The sequence below is a fragment of the Homo sapiens genome, chromosome 11 (assembly GCF_000001405.40).
Source record: "Homo sapiens chromosome 11, GRCh38.p14 Primary Assembly".
In the NCBI taxonomy this organism is placed as follows: domain Eukaryota; kingdom Metazoa; phylum Chordata; class Mammalia; order Primates; family Hominidae; genus Homo; species Homo sapiens.
In genome coordinates this window covers 12,906,586-12,920,340 of record NC_000011.10, presented here as the reverse complement: position 1 = coordinate 12,920,340, position 13,755 = coordinate 12,906,586, and the positions used below count along the sequence as shown (strand labels likewise).

General features: G+C 41.4%; 1 protein-coding gene across 1 annotated transcript in view, besides 2 other annotated features; it reads right to left on the bottom strand.

Annotated features, from left to right (window-relative positions):
- TEAD1 (TEA domain transcription factor 1) overlaps positions 1-13,755 on the bottom strand; it is a 270,317-nt gene that overhangs the window by 24,397 nt on the left and 232,165 nt on the right. The window lies entirely within an intron of this gene.
- Positions 4,682-5,545: an enhancer, noted in NCBI's record as "H3K27ac-H3K4me1 hESC enhancer chr11:12936343-12937206 (GRCh37/hg19 assembly coordinates)". NCBI's record gives its function as "activates a minimal SCP1, AML or CMV promoter by ChIP-STARR-seq in naive H9 embryonic stem cells {active_cell/tissue: H9 hESC(naive)}" and the evidence as "EXISTENCE:reporter gene assay evidence [ECO:0000049][PMID:30033119]".
- Positions 5,546-6,410: an enhancer, noted in NCBI's record as "NANOG-H3K27ac-H3K4me1 hESC enhancer chr11:12935478-12936342 (GRCh37/hg19 assembly coordinates)". NCBI's record gives its function as "activates a minimal SCP1, AML or CMV promoter by ChIP-STARR-seq in naive H9 embryonic stem cells {active_cell/tissue: H9 hESC(naive)}" and the evidence as "EXISTENCE:reporter gene assay evidence [ECO:0000049][PMID:30033119]".

Genomic DNA, 13,755 nt, shown 5'->3' with positions numbered 1-13,755 from the left:
ATGTTAACTAAGTTTAGAATGGTATTATTCATCATGATGTTAGTAAAATTGCTGAATATGTTCACAACTGTTACGGTTCTGTCTGTACGAGGTTCCATGCTTAAGTAACGCTGGTGAAAGCAGCTGTCCCACAGCAGTGGCACACCTAGCAGATCTGACGCATTTTTAAGACCGCCTTCCTTTATTTGACAAAATGACTTTCAACAATAACCAGCACTCTACTTCAGTTATTTAAAATTGTAAACGTAAAAATTCCCAAAGCAGAAACAGAGAATGAAGGAATGGAAAAAAAGTTCTGTTTCCTCATCTTCATAATCATTCTACTATTGTTGCTCATTGACAAATCTGTTTAACCACTGGAACAAGGAGCACCATGGGGACTGTGGACTCAGACTGCACCTGAAATGAGTACTAGGCTGAGTCCACATGTGTTACTGAAGGAGAAGTAATATAATGGATAATGTGCTTGCTAATTTGAAGCATATAGATGTTCTATATATAAAATAAAAATTCAACATATGTTGTATACATACATATATAAAAAATAAAAATTCAGCTCACACCTATAATCCCAGCACTTTCAGAGGTTGAGGCAGGAGGATTGCTTGAGCCCAGGAGTTCGAGACCAGCCTGGGCAACATAGGGAGATGCCATCTCTACAAATAATTTTTTTTTTTTAATTAGCCGGACATGGTGGCATGTGCCTGTAGTCCCAGCTACCTGGGAGGCTAAAATAGGAAGCTTCCTAGAGCCCAGGAGTTTGAGGCTGCAATGAGCCATGATTTGTACCACTGCACTCCAGCCTGGGTAACAGAACTAGATGCTGTCTCAAAAAAAAAGTAATTAAAAAAATTCAACACTAACTTCACCAATTATTTAGGACTCAGGCCAACAAAGGAGGTTTTGTCAGTTAATATGGTGATAATAAAAAGAAAATTGATTTTTTAGATGGTTTTGCCATTGTTTGTAAATTCCCTACAGCCAAGCAAAGTCCTTACTGCTTGCAGCTGCGGCAGACCATTCCTACCACCTCACCATTGGTTTACCATTATCTCTTAGAACTCCCCAAACAACTTTAATATAGCTTCCATTTGGAATGGATGATCTGTAGTTACAATGATAGAATTATTCAAAACAAAGTTATTAAAGAATACCCAACCTACCCTCAGAAACCATCCCAACAAATTACATGTTTTAAAGCTGTCAAAGTTAACAGTTTTACATAAAATTAAAATATACATTCAGAAAAGTACACAAACTGGAAGTTTACAGCTTGATTAATTTTCATCAAGTGAGCCAGCACCCAGATGAAGAAATGGAAGTCCCTCTCTCCCCCAAATATCCTTCCTTCCAGGCACAATCATCTATACACCTTGCCAGCGTAACCATGATCCTGAAACATCACACATTAGTTTTGTCTGGTTTCTGAACTTTAAGCAAGTGCAACAGGGTTTACAGTGTTTAGTTTTGTTTACTCAGCATTTTATTTGTGAGACTCAACCATGTTGTTGTATATAGTTCATTCATCCTCATTACTGTAGAATATTCCATTGAATGAAAAATGCCACGATCTATCCACCCTATTACTTAGGGACATTTGCGAGGCTTCCAAATGGACCTATTAAGAAGAGTGCTACTATGAACGTTCTTGAATATGCTTTTGAGGGACATATGGATGTGTTTCTGTTGGACGTTCCTAGGAGTGTAATTACTCGGTCATAGAGTCTACGTGCATTTTATCCTTCATTTAGATAAGAGGTAGGGAGAAACAGTCTGAGAAAATTCTCTATTTAATTATTAGTGTAAATTTAAGAGATTAGATTTTAAAAGGCTTCCCAACTAACAGTAAATAACCAATTTGCCATTACAACTGCTTTGTAATTACCCTTGAACATGGAAAATAATTATGTAGCTATCCAACCATATCACAGATGCTCTTCAGGAATTTTCTAGGAGGAAGTATTGATGTAAAATATAATTATCAAGATATATATATAATTATCAAGATATATATAATTTTATATATATATAATTATCTGTCAGCTGATAGTGTTATGGCTATTCCAGAAAGAAATGCAGTCACTGAACTCCCATGAAGTGAAGGTAATATCAAAGAAAGAATGCTAGCATTAAGTCAACAACAAAGAAGTCTGGGATTTGCAGAGTTCATTATCTACCCTACTGACACGTCCCCCCTCCCAACTGAAAATCACTCCAGGTGGAAAGCAAACCTATTTCATGTAGTTCTGAAGGCAAGAAAATGAGTTTTTAAAAATGTACCACTATCAGAGATACAAACTATTTCTGCCTAATCAGCTTTTACCTAACCACAGGATATTTTCTAAAAGTAAATAAAAACAAAAATCCAAGAAACAGTTGAAAACTAGTAAAACTTATCTTTCCAATAAATTCCAAAGTCAAACCATATCCCATCTTCTGGGCACAAGCTAGCCAAAAAGGCTGGTCATAGGCCAGGTTCTGCAGTGTTAAAAAACAACACTTAGAAATATGGCTGGGGAAGGTAAGTCCAGGGAAATGAGTCCTTCTAAGAAATCTTCTCCCTGTTTGCTCTAGAAACAGAGACCCTAAACGCTAAGCTGAAACTTAGTTCAGAGGTCAACTCTCTCCTACCTCCAAAAGCAGAAATCCTTTCCACAGCATCCTGACCTGCACTGCCTTAAAGCTAAATACTTTCAGACACAGGAAAATCACTTCAATAATGCTGCTGGGCCAGGCACGCTGGCCACTTACGCCCAGGAGTTTGAGACCAGCCTGGGCAACACAGCAAGACCCCATCTCTATTTATAAATAATAATAATATTGCCAGACAGCCTTAACTGTTAATGCTTTTTTCTGTTATATTAATTTTCTCTGCTACAAATTATCACACATTTAGTGCCTTAAAACAAGACAAACTAATTATTTTATATTCCTGTAGGTCAGAAATTTAATTCAGCTCCAGGCTGGCTAAGATCAAGGAACTAGAAGGGACGCAACTCCTTACTAGACAGAGGCTCTGAAGAGGGTTCTGTTTCCTTGCCTCTTCCAGCTTCTGAGACCACCCACATTCCTTGTCCCGGAGCCCCTTGCTCCATTTTCAAAGCCAGAAACACCAGCCGAATCCTTCTCACATTGCCAGCTGTCGTCTCTCTGGATGTCTTTTTTTGTCTCCCTCTTCTGCTTTAAGGGACCTTGGGACCATGCTAGGCCCACTTAGATAATCCAAGATATTCTATCTGCTGATTAACAACTTTTAATTCCCCTTTGCCATGTAATGTACCATTATCCACAGATTCCATGGCTACAGAGGAGGCATGTCTGGGGATCCATGATGCTGCCTATTACATCTGTTAAGTTGAAATGAGCTCCTCTGTAACTTCCATCCAGAACTTCGGGTACCACAGACCGAAGAACACTTCTGTAACACAATTCTGCAGTTTTCTCTCCTTTCCTCCTTAACTTCACCATTCCTCTCCTCCTCCTCACCCACATAGTTCTTCAGGTTCTGTTTGCTTCCCAAGATTCAAGTTTTACATTTACTTTTGTTAAACTCTACAAAGTTCAGTCCTCCACTCATCCCATCCAGTCCGACACTGGTCCAGGCGTCTGTGAATGCTGCTTCTCATTTGTCATCTCATCTCAGACACTGGACTGACAGCACAGGCAGCAGAAGTGAGAGATTTGGAATCACTTTTTGGGTCTCGCTTTTCTCATCTTTATCCACAGGGAAGATGATGTGTTTCCAAAGGCCACGGTGGTAATATGAGGAGATAATGCATATAAAATTCACCTGTAATCTATAATGTACTATAAAATTCACAGTCATTAACAATACCTATCATCACTCCTGTTCACTTGTCAATTTGAAATATTGACCACAATAGAGATGAAGACAGAGCCTCAAATCACATCTAGAGACACTGACACCTTTCCTCAACGAGACAAGAGTCTGTAATCAATAAACACGATAAAGACTGTCACCATGGAGCCAGTCTTGGCCCCAACCCACGTTTGTCGGGTGTGTGGCACAGATGCAACACTGGCTTTTTCCAAACAGAAAAATTAGGACTTTTTCTGATTTGTGTTTATGACGGGTCTTACGTATTGAGTATAACAGCTCAAACAGGTATAAATTTCTCAAAAGGCATGATTAGACATGTTATAGAATTCTTTCTGGGACTAAAAAAAAGGCCATCATTAACACGTGTGTTGAGTGAATTAAAGACTTTAGGGTCTATTTGTGGGCAAGTCCTGAAAAACAACAAAAAGTCGAAGCAGAAGCCGGTTTCAATGATGGGCAGAGGAAGCGGACAGCAACAGAAAACAAAAATACACCCCATCAAAAGTTTCCAAATTCTTTCCCAAATCATCCTTCTCTTATACTCATTACTTCCACAACTGAAACAGTTTAGTCCCCAGATAAGAGTCTGGATTCGTTTCTCCTCTATTACCTCTTACTCAGTAAGCCCATTTATTCATGGATCTGTTCTTTTTTCTGAGACAGAGTCTCACTCTGCTGCCCAGGCTGGAGTGCAGTGGCACAATGTTGGCTCACTGCAACCTCGACCTTCTGGGTTCAAGAGATTCTACTGCCTCAGCCTCCCAAGTAGCTGGGATTACAGATGTGCGCCACCACACTAATTTTTGTATTTTTTAGTAGAGATGGGGTTTCACTATGTTGGCCAGGTTGGTCTTGAACTCCTGACATCAAGTGATCCACCTGCCTCGGCCTCCCAAAGTGCTGGGATTATACGCGTGGGCCACCATGCCCAGCCATCCTGGATCTGTTTGGTTTAAATTTCATGTTTTTGCCTTTTGGCAGTAAATATGAAAAATGCAACACTCTCCAAAGACTGACCCTTCCCATTTCAAGGGTAAGGAAGAATGAAGCCTCACCCAAGTATGTGGGATCTGAAGTCCTTGGAGGCGGGTGCTAGGCCAGGGGACAGAGTGGATCATCCCTGCAAAACCTCCGTCCTCTGGAGACCTGGCTGTGGGGGCAGAAGGATCAGGAAGTGAAGGCTACTCCTGCCCAGTGAAGAATGGGAGTGAGCAGCTCACGCGGTGGCAGCATTTGGCGGATGACAACAACTTTGTTACAAGCTTTATTGGGGAAAAGCCTGCTGGAACAAAGGCAAGCAGATAACCTCTAAGGCGCGAGGCAGGGGGACAGCAGGGGCACAGGGTCAGGAGCAGGCTGTGGACCTTCCCTTCCTATCCAGAGGGCTTGGAAGAGCTGGGGAGAATGACCTGGTTGCAAAAATGAAAACATCAAGAGGACTGTCCCCAACCAGAGACAGTCTAATAGGCACTGATGGCTGCAACGAGACGCTGGCATTTTAAAACACTACTTTGAACCTCTCTTCTTCATCCTCTCCGAGCAATGATCAAAGAACCAAGATTTCAAATTGTGAAGCAATTTTTTCCAATGGTAGCATCTGGCTCCTTGGCAGGCGGTGCTGGGAGCTGGGCCCTGTGGCGGGCAGCCGTCCAGGCCTGCCACATGGTAAGGCTCGGCCAGGCAGGGCACGCAGTGCGGCATTGCAGCTGCTCCCACAGGCACCAAAGGACAATCGCTCTGCACTGGGCCTGGGGCTGTGGGGCAACAGTGCCCCTAGAGGCAGCACTGCCATGGGCAGAGAGAAGGGGGAGGTCTGGAGAAAGCTGGCTGCTCTAAAAGGCTCCTCGCCCTCTCATTTGCAGGCAAGTGCCTTCTGGCTAAGACCCTTGAAGCCAGTCCCATTGACATTCAGAGGCTTGGGGTGGGTGGGGAAGCTGGGCCAACCGTGAGACAGCTCCCCAGCAAGGAAGCCAGCATGTAGGGGGAGTGAACGAGCTGCCCTCAGAAAAGAGTCTTTGAGTGTGTTCACTTCGGCCCTTATGCCCTGCCCAACCCAATGATGAGACAGCAGCTGTAGCCTGCCTGCCACAGCTGTTTTAAATAAGAATAATAGGAATAAACTCAGCCGTGGCTCTTCAAGTTACTTCCCGCTAATTATGGCATATATTTACATCTACAAAATAGAAGATTTTTAAAAACACCACCAAGGGCCCCTTTATTGTGCAGATTGGCACCCCTATTTGAATTTCATAAACATTTGGCACTTCAAAGAATCTTAAAAGCTTGCTCTAATTATGCTATGCACTGGTTGAAAGGCTGCCCGTCTGCACTGCAAATTCCTACAAATACCAGCATTTAGTTTTTCAAAAATTCAATTAATATCACCCACACAACTTCAGGTGACCACTAGTGGCAACTTCACATAGTGGCTAGGATGAAAGAGTCAGGTCTCAGCTCCAACTACAAAGCAGCTACACGGGCCAGTTCTTTCCAATAGAGGCAAGTAATGAATTCTGGGTGCCCAGCTGAGCTGGCCCCAAACCTTTCTCATTCATCAGGTGTGTGAACACTGGCCCAGACACCACCTTTCCCAGGAAACAGGACCTTTTTATGGTTTCAAGGTTTTGTGCATGAAAAGTTTTTCATAGAACAACAATAACAACCCCAAGCCAATGATACGTAAGTGAACTAACAAGTGCAGAGCTGCCAGATAAAACGGGGAACCCAGTTAACTCACATCTCAAATGAACAGCAAATACTTTTTCAGTACATATGAACATATATACCAAATACTGTATAGGACATGTACACCAAAAAAGTATTCACTGTTTATTTGAAATGCAAATTTAACTGGGCAACCTGATAAATCTGACAACTCTACTTATCAAGAAACCTTTACCACAGAGAATAAAAACTGAGACTTACCCTCAAATTCTCATTGCTGTAAAAGGCATCATATGTCCAAGACACTTTAGGTAGGGAAAATGAAGTTGCAGGAAACACTTGGAGCATAATCCCTTTTTAGTAAAAACAAGTGATGTATATGTATACGTATAATGGTTGTAGATACATACGTATAAGTCTAAAAGGATACATTCCAAATTTTGGGATCTGGCTGACCACAGGCATGTATGTGTGCAAGGAGGATCTCACTTTTTATTCTATATTCTTTTCAACTGCTCAAACTATTCATAACAAACCTGCATCACTTTTTTAATTTAAAAAGTAAATTAACATGGGGTGGACTGGGGGGTAGGAGGTACCGTGGATCTTTACCTGCACATGGAGAGGGGGTCTCTCACACCACCAAGGGCCTAGGTTCAGTTTTAAGCAACTGACTGAGATCCCTGAAGTGTCCAGTTAATCCAACTACGCCTTGCAAAACTGGGTCTGAAAATATGCAGCCACCCCGACTATGGCACATCAATTCTTTCCTTCTCAGGTTTTTCTTGAGGTGAAATGGTAAAGGTGACAGCATGAATCAAGCTAATTGTGGCAGCAGCTCAGGTGGGATCGTGGCTTAGCATCTCAGTCTGTAGCCACAGAAGGGAGTGGAATTAAATGGCCCCAGAAGGAAGGGACAGACCCCTGACCTGGGCTTTCTTAGCAATCACAGAGACAAAGGACCCAGGACAGAAAGTCTTTTAGGAATAGCTGTTGGAATGAATTCCTCCAGGTCAAGGCAACTCCCAATGCAAGAGATTCTGCCCGGAAGCCCTGAAGACTTCAGAGTCAAAGGTTTAAAAAAAAGAGAAGTATCTGTGGTTTGATAGAAGAGGATGGGAGGAAAAGCAATGTAAGCTCTTGTGCTCATTTTCCAAGCTATCCTATCCTGTGAAATCCATGATTTCATTCCTACTACGTTTTAGGCTTTCAGAGGATTCAGGTATGGTCTTTTGAAGTGAATGCCCCTGTGACCAGGGTTTCCACCCACATCTCTCCCTATTCTCTGAGTTCGGTAAGCCCCAGTGGCCATGGGGACCTCTCGCCACCTCCCAGGACTCCTTGTCTGTACATGAGTATCCACTGCCCTGAAAACTCCTTCTCACTCCCCTTGCACTGACCAAATTCTATCAAGATTCTGTTTAAATGCCATGTCTTTGTGAGCCCTTCCGAAATGTTCTCAGGCAAAAAGGGTTCCACCTCTGTGCTTCCACAGCAACTTCTGCCCACTTCCACTACAGCTCCCACCCCTCGGTGCTGTTGTTCACCTGCCCACATGTCTGCCATCCCTCACCAGACCCTGAGCCTGCAAATCAGAACTCTCAATCACATCTGCTTCCCAGTTTTCCAGAAGCAAAGACGACATTGGCAAATGTTTGTTGAATGACTTTCTAGCAACGAGATGGCCCAGAAAAGCTTTCAAGTGAGTCTCTTGAGGTCTCCTTTTCCTCCTACGAATTGCTTGCGGATGATTCCTCAACAAACTCTCAGGTGGTAATGTGAGTTGGCAATGTGGCAGAGTGCCCAATGCACAGCAATTTCTTTAGGACCATTTACTGATTGAAATAAAATAACTTTCCAGGTAACTTAAAAAAAAAAAGCCTTGAAAATCTATTATATACATTGCAGCACTGAACACAGGCCACAGACAGGGTACGCTCCCTTAGAAAGGCCTACAAAGAAGTTTGGCATCCAGGGTTCGGGAACCAGGAAGGAGCAATCCCAAGCAGCAGTCACCACAGAAAGTGCTCACAAGCTCCAGATATTTTTCTTACGAAAACAAACCAAAATGGGCAGATATACAAATGTATTGATTTCTCTCTTCCTGTGCTTACAATAGCAGGGCCTATCAAGAGATAATTAAAAAAAAAAAAAAAAGACTCATGTAACCACAGTCTACTTAAAATTTAACATGTATTAGCCCCCAAGTACCTCTGAATATCGTGATACTTCTCACTAATCTTTCTTCTACTTAAATCATTTCATCACTTAATATTGTTCAGTTAACTTTAAAACGCATTTTGAGATGAGACAGAAGTAGGGAGAAATGGAAAACTTATTGAGCTGAAAGGCCCCTCCTTCCTGATAGCAGTTCAAAACATGTGGAAAGCAAACGATTTCGTATTGTTAACTCCCTCTTCCATGAATAGCAACAGGACGTTTGGTTCCAAATGACAGACTCAGGTCTACAATTCCAATCTAAATCATGCAGAATACAATTAGAAACAAGCTGAGACTCCAATGGGGGTGGGGTCTGTTCTGCTGGGTTATTGTGCGCCCAGTTTCTTCTCTTTAAATAAAACCCAGTTTTATGTAGAGTGACTGTCATTTTGTTGAACAAATGTGATTTCATTTCTACCAAGACAAAAGCATCTTCTAATGGCTGTCCTCTTTCCAGGTAACTTGCTTCCCCTTTTTTTGTTTTATAAAATCTTCTCACATCTGCTATGGTTAGTAAAAGTAGGCTTGCTTTTTCTTCCTTTAAAAATAATAGGTTAAGAAAGTAAATTGGCCAGGCATGGTGGCTCACGCCTGTAATCCCAGCACTTTGGGAGGCCAAGGCGGGTGGATCACCTGAGGTCAGGAGTTCAAGACCAGCCTGGCCAACATGGCGAAACCCCATCTCTACCAAAAATACAAAAATTAGCTGGGCACAGTGGCAGGTGCCTGTAATCCCAGCTACTCGGGAGGCTGAGGCAGGAGAATCGCTTGAACCCGACAGGCAGAGGTTGCAGTGAGCCGAGACTGTGCCACTGCACTCCAGCCTGTGAGACAGAGCGAGACTCCATCTCAAAAAAAAAAAAAAAAAGCAAATTAAGTAACTATGTAGACAGTATTGTTTACACTGAATGATCATAATCCCAAGAATTTTAAAATACAAAACAATTTTAAATAAGTATAGGATAACATCATATATCCTGGTTTCTAAGATATGACTAATTTGATAATGATTAGAGTGAAAGCAGAAATATTAAATGTATATTTAAAAATTTGTTATAACCTGGCAACATGATACAAATCCGTAAGATTTCACTTTCATATTGCTTTCTTCTTTATTATTCCAATCAAAGTTTAAGACTAAGCCTTTACTGTACTAATTATTATTATGAATAGTTTTGGGTTATAATGTTTATGAATAGAATGTTAAAAGCATACAGCTTTCTTTAGAGCAGTGTTTCCAATCTTGACACCCTTGAACATTATTAGGACAGGAAATAGAATTCTGAGGCCCCTCCAAAGGTATTAGTCTCAATTGCATGTCTTATTTGGTTAAATCTGTAATTTTATTTCCTTCTGTAAACTTCATATAGCTAGAAATTAACTGCTTTTGACAGTCAGCTGTGAGCTACACTTGGGTTTTTGTCCTTCGGGATGCATGACTGAATCATACTCATGTCTTCTAGCTCTGGGAATTCAATCTATGATCAATTCCCAAGGCTGTTGACATTTTGTTACATTAATTGCACTGTCTGCCACGTCACTGGCAATCCATCTGCCTGAATCTCAATGCTGCAATGAAGCACAGCTTCATCCATTTGTGGGTGGACATCCCTCTTTCCTAGAGCCTACACAGCACCTGATCATGTTTTGTAAGGAAAAAAGAAGTATGACTAGCTGCCAGTACAAGTACTTGCCTCATTTATAAAAAATCTGGTTCCAAAACTCCTCTTGAACCATAATAACAATTTCAATGCCACATCAATGCGTAATTTTCCGAGATGGTTTAATTAGGGATTTAAATTTAAGCTAAAATTCAACTGCTATGGTACTATAAAGTGCAAATAACTCAACTAAGGTGTCCAGGGAATGGCAAGATGTCTTCTATGCTGGCCAGGGTCAGGTGATAATAACCAGTCACAACCTACTCCTCTGCCTAGGGGTGGAGAAGATGCTTTTTTGTTTAATTTTGCTTCAATTTCTGGGATACATGTGCAGAACGTGCTGGTTTGTTATATAGGTATACGTGTGCCATGGTGGTCTGTGGCACCTATTGACCTGTCCTCTAAGTTCCCTCCCCTCGCCCCCCACCCCGCAACAGGCCCTGGTATGTGATGTTCCCCTCCCTGTGTCCCTGTGTTCTCATTGTTCAACTCCCACTTATGAGTGAAAACACGTGGTGTTTGGTTTTCTGTTCCTGTGTTAGTTTGCTAACGATGATGGCTTCCAGCTTCATCCATGTCCCTGCAAAGGACATGATCTCATTCCTTTTTATGGCTGCATAGTATTCAATAATAGACTGGATATAAAGAAAATGTGGCAAAGTGCTTTGGATATCAACTGACAGAAGCATTCCAATTTTAGAACTGTTGAAATGGGAACAAGTCCATGTCTCAGAATTGAAGAAATATGGTATTTCAACCTTAATAGTAATCATTGTTTCTACAGAGAATGAGGAAGAATCGAAGACTTTTGAGTAGGAAGAAAAAATAAAAGCAGATGTAGAAGAACTCAAATAACAAGTGACAATAGAAGATTGTTTTTTGTTTTGTTTTAAATTGCACCAGTCAAGGCTGATGAAGATGCCTGGTCTATTCATGCATGGCCTGAGAGAGTAACTGCTACAACTATTTTAGAAAGCAACATGGTTATTTACACACATAACCATGTGTGTAAATCACACCACTGCACTTCAGCCTGGGCAGCAGAGCAACACTGTCTCAAAAAAAAAAAAACAGATAATTTGAAGTATACTGACATATAGCTAACATGATATTTCATAAGGTATAAAAGTGGAGTGTCAGATTTCACGTATTCCTTGATCAAAACTACATAAATATGTATCACATTAGGTTATATTCATGATGCATTTAGGACTGAATTAAAAATTATATATTCCCAACTGTCTAGAATGTTATACCTTCATAATCATAATATAAAAACAACACTGCTTTCTCCTAATGGTAGTTGCAGGATCTCACTAACTTGTCTAGTTAAGACTTAGACTCCAACCTGAATTTCCTGGTAATAGTTTATTCACCTTACGTTTTGTATTCTTTTATGTGATGGTCAGTCAGGTGCGGCCACAGAGCACAGGAGAAGTTCAGGAAAAAAATTTATTACACTCAAAGGTCCCCAAGACAGGAAGCATGGCAGGCCATCAAGGGCCACATGGAAAGATACTAGGGTGGTCAGGAGGCAGAAGACAAGAGGCCAGCTTAGACCAGAGCCTTTCCTGGGCTTTCCATGGGCAGGGCAGGGGAAACAGAATGACCAATTAAGGATTGACTAGTTCGAATAACTCCAGCTGGCTCTAAGCTTCAGAGGTGGTCCCTAGTTGTCTGGTACCATTCCAGGGAATGATTAGGGCAGAGGAACACTGTATCCTGGGGTGCCTGGACCACATAGAGGAGGTCTGGTTCTGGACTGGTTGGTTTGCATATGAAAAGCAGGCTCCTGGACTATCCTCTGTTAGACAGAATCATGTTCCTACTCTAAGAATTGGCTAGACCCAGAAAGGCCAGTCTTTTCCCAGCAAGAAAGGCTTTTTAAAAAAAATCAGAACATAATAATATACAGAACATATATATGAAAATACACCTTAGCTCCCATGTAAACACACCAGAGCATCTCATAATGACAGGACTTCAAAGAGAAACTACCAAGGCTGCTATCCTTCAGCAATCACCATTAGCTTCCATTTAAGTGAAGCTATGTTGGGATGGTTTCTAGTGACAGAACCGTGCTCCCTGAAGAGGCCATGCACAGGTTTACACAAAGAGCATGGATTCTGGAGTCTAGCAGATGTGGCATTTACTAGCAATATGATGTCACAGAAGTCACTTTGCCTTTGTATGGTTTGATTTCTTCATGTGTGAAGTGGGACTCATCACATGTATCTCACAAGGATTAAATAATATCAAGTATGTGCTTAGCCCTGGCACAGTGCCTGGCTTAAAGAAGGTACCAGTTAAGCGTCAGGTTCAGGTACTGCTGAAAAAGAGAGGAACCTCTTCCCTTCCCTTCCATTCCTGCAAAATCACCTTTTCTCTCTTTGTAATTAAATACGCTGTAGAATTAAAACACATAGGAGTAAATAAAAAGAGGGCAAAAGAAATAGAAAGGAAATGAGTAAGAGGCTGTCATGAAAAGGAAAATATAATAAAACTAGAAAAGGCAAAATGCAGAGTCTCTGTAACACTCAGTAAAAAGAATCCCATTACTCTGTTGACTGAAAAATTGTTAAAACACCGACTGCTCCCTACTGCTGTCACAACTAAATTCTGGATTCCTTCTCTTTCCAAATTTTTCTACTCACCTATCTTTCCATTACCAGTGAAGATTCAGCTGCAACACACCTCAATGCACCTGAAGCATACGTTACACACACCCTGTCTCAGTGCCTTTGCTTACCAGCCCCTCATCTAAGATGTCCCCTGTAATCTGTACCCCAATACTTGCAGACATAATGGCTGAAGGAGAAGAACCCCTAAGATCTTACTGGTGAGAATGTAAAATGGTACAACCACATAAAAAAGAAGTTTAGCAGTATCTTAAAATGTTAAACATAGAGTTACCGTAGGACCCAGCAATTCCACTCCTAGGTAGCTCCCCAAGAAAGATGAAACGGTATGTCCACACAGACTTGTCTACAAAGACTCGATAGCACCATTATTCATAATAGCCTGAAGTGGAAATGATCCACATGCCTATCAACCAGTGAATGAACAAAGCAAAATGTGGTATATACATTGGATGGGACACTAATTCTACAATAAAAAGGATGCACCTCAAATACAACAAAAGTAAAAGAAGCCAGCTGTGAAAAACAATACACTGAATGATTTCATTCATATGAAATGTCTAGAACAGGCAAATTGATCCAGACAGAAAGTAGATCCACAGTTGCCTGGGGCTGGGGGTGGAAATAAGAACTAACTACAAATGGGCACAGGAGATCCTCGCGGGGTGACAGACAAATTCCAACGCTGGATTTTAGTATGATTATGCAACTCTGTAAATTTTTCTAAAAA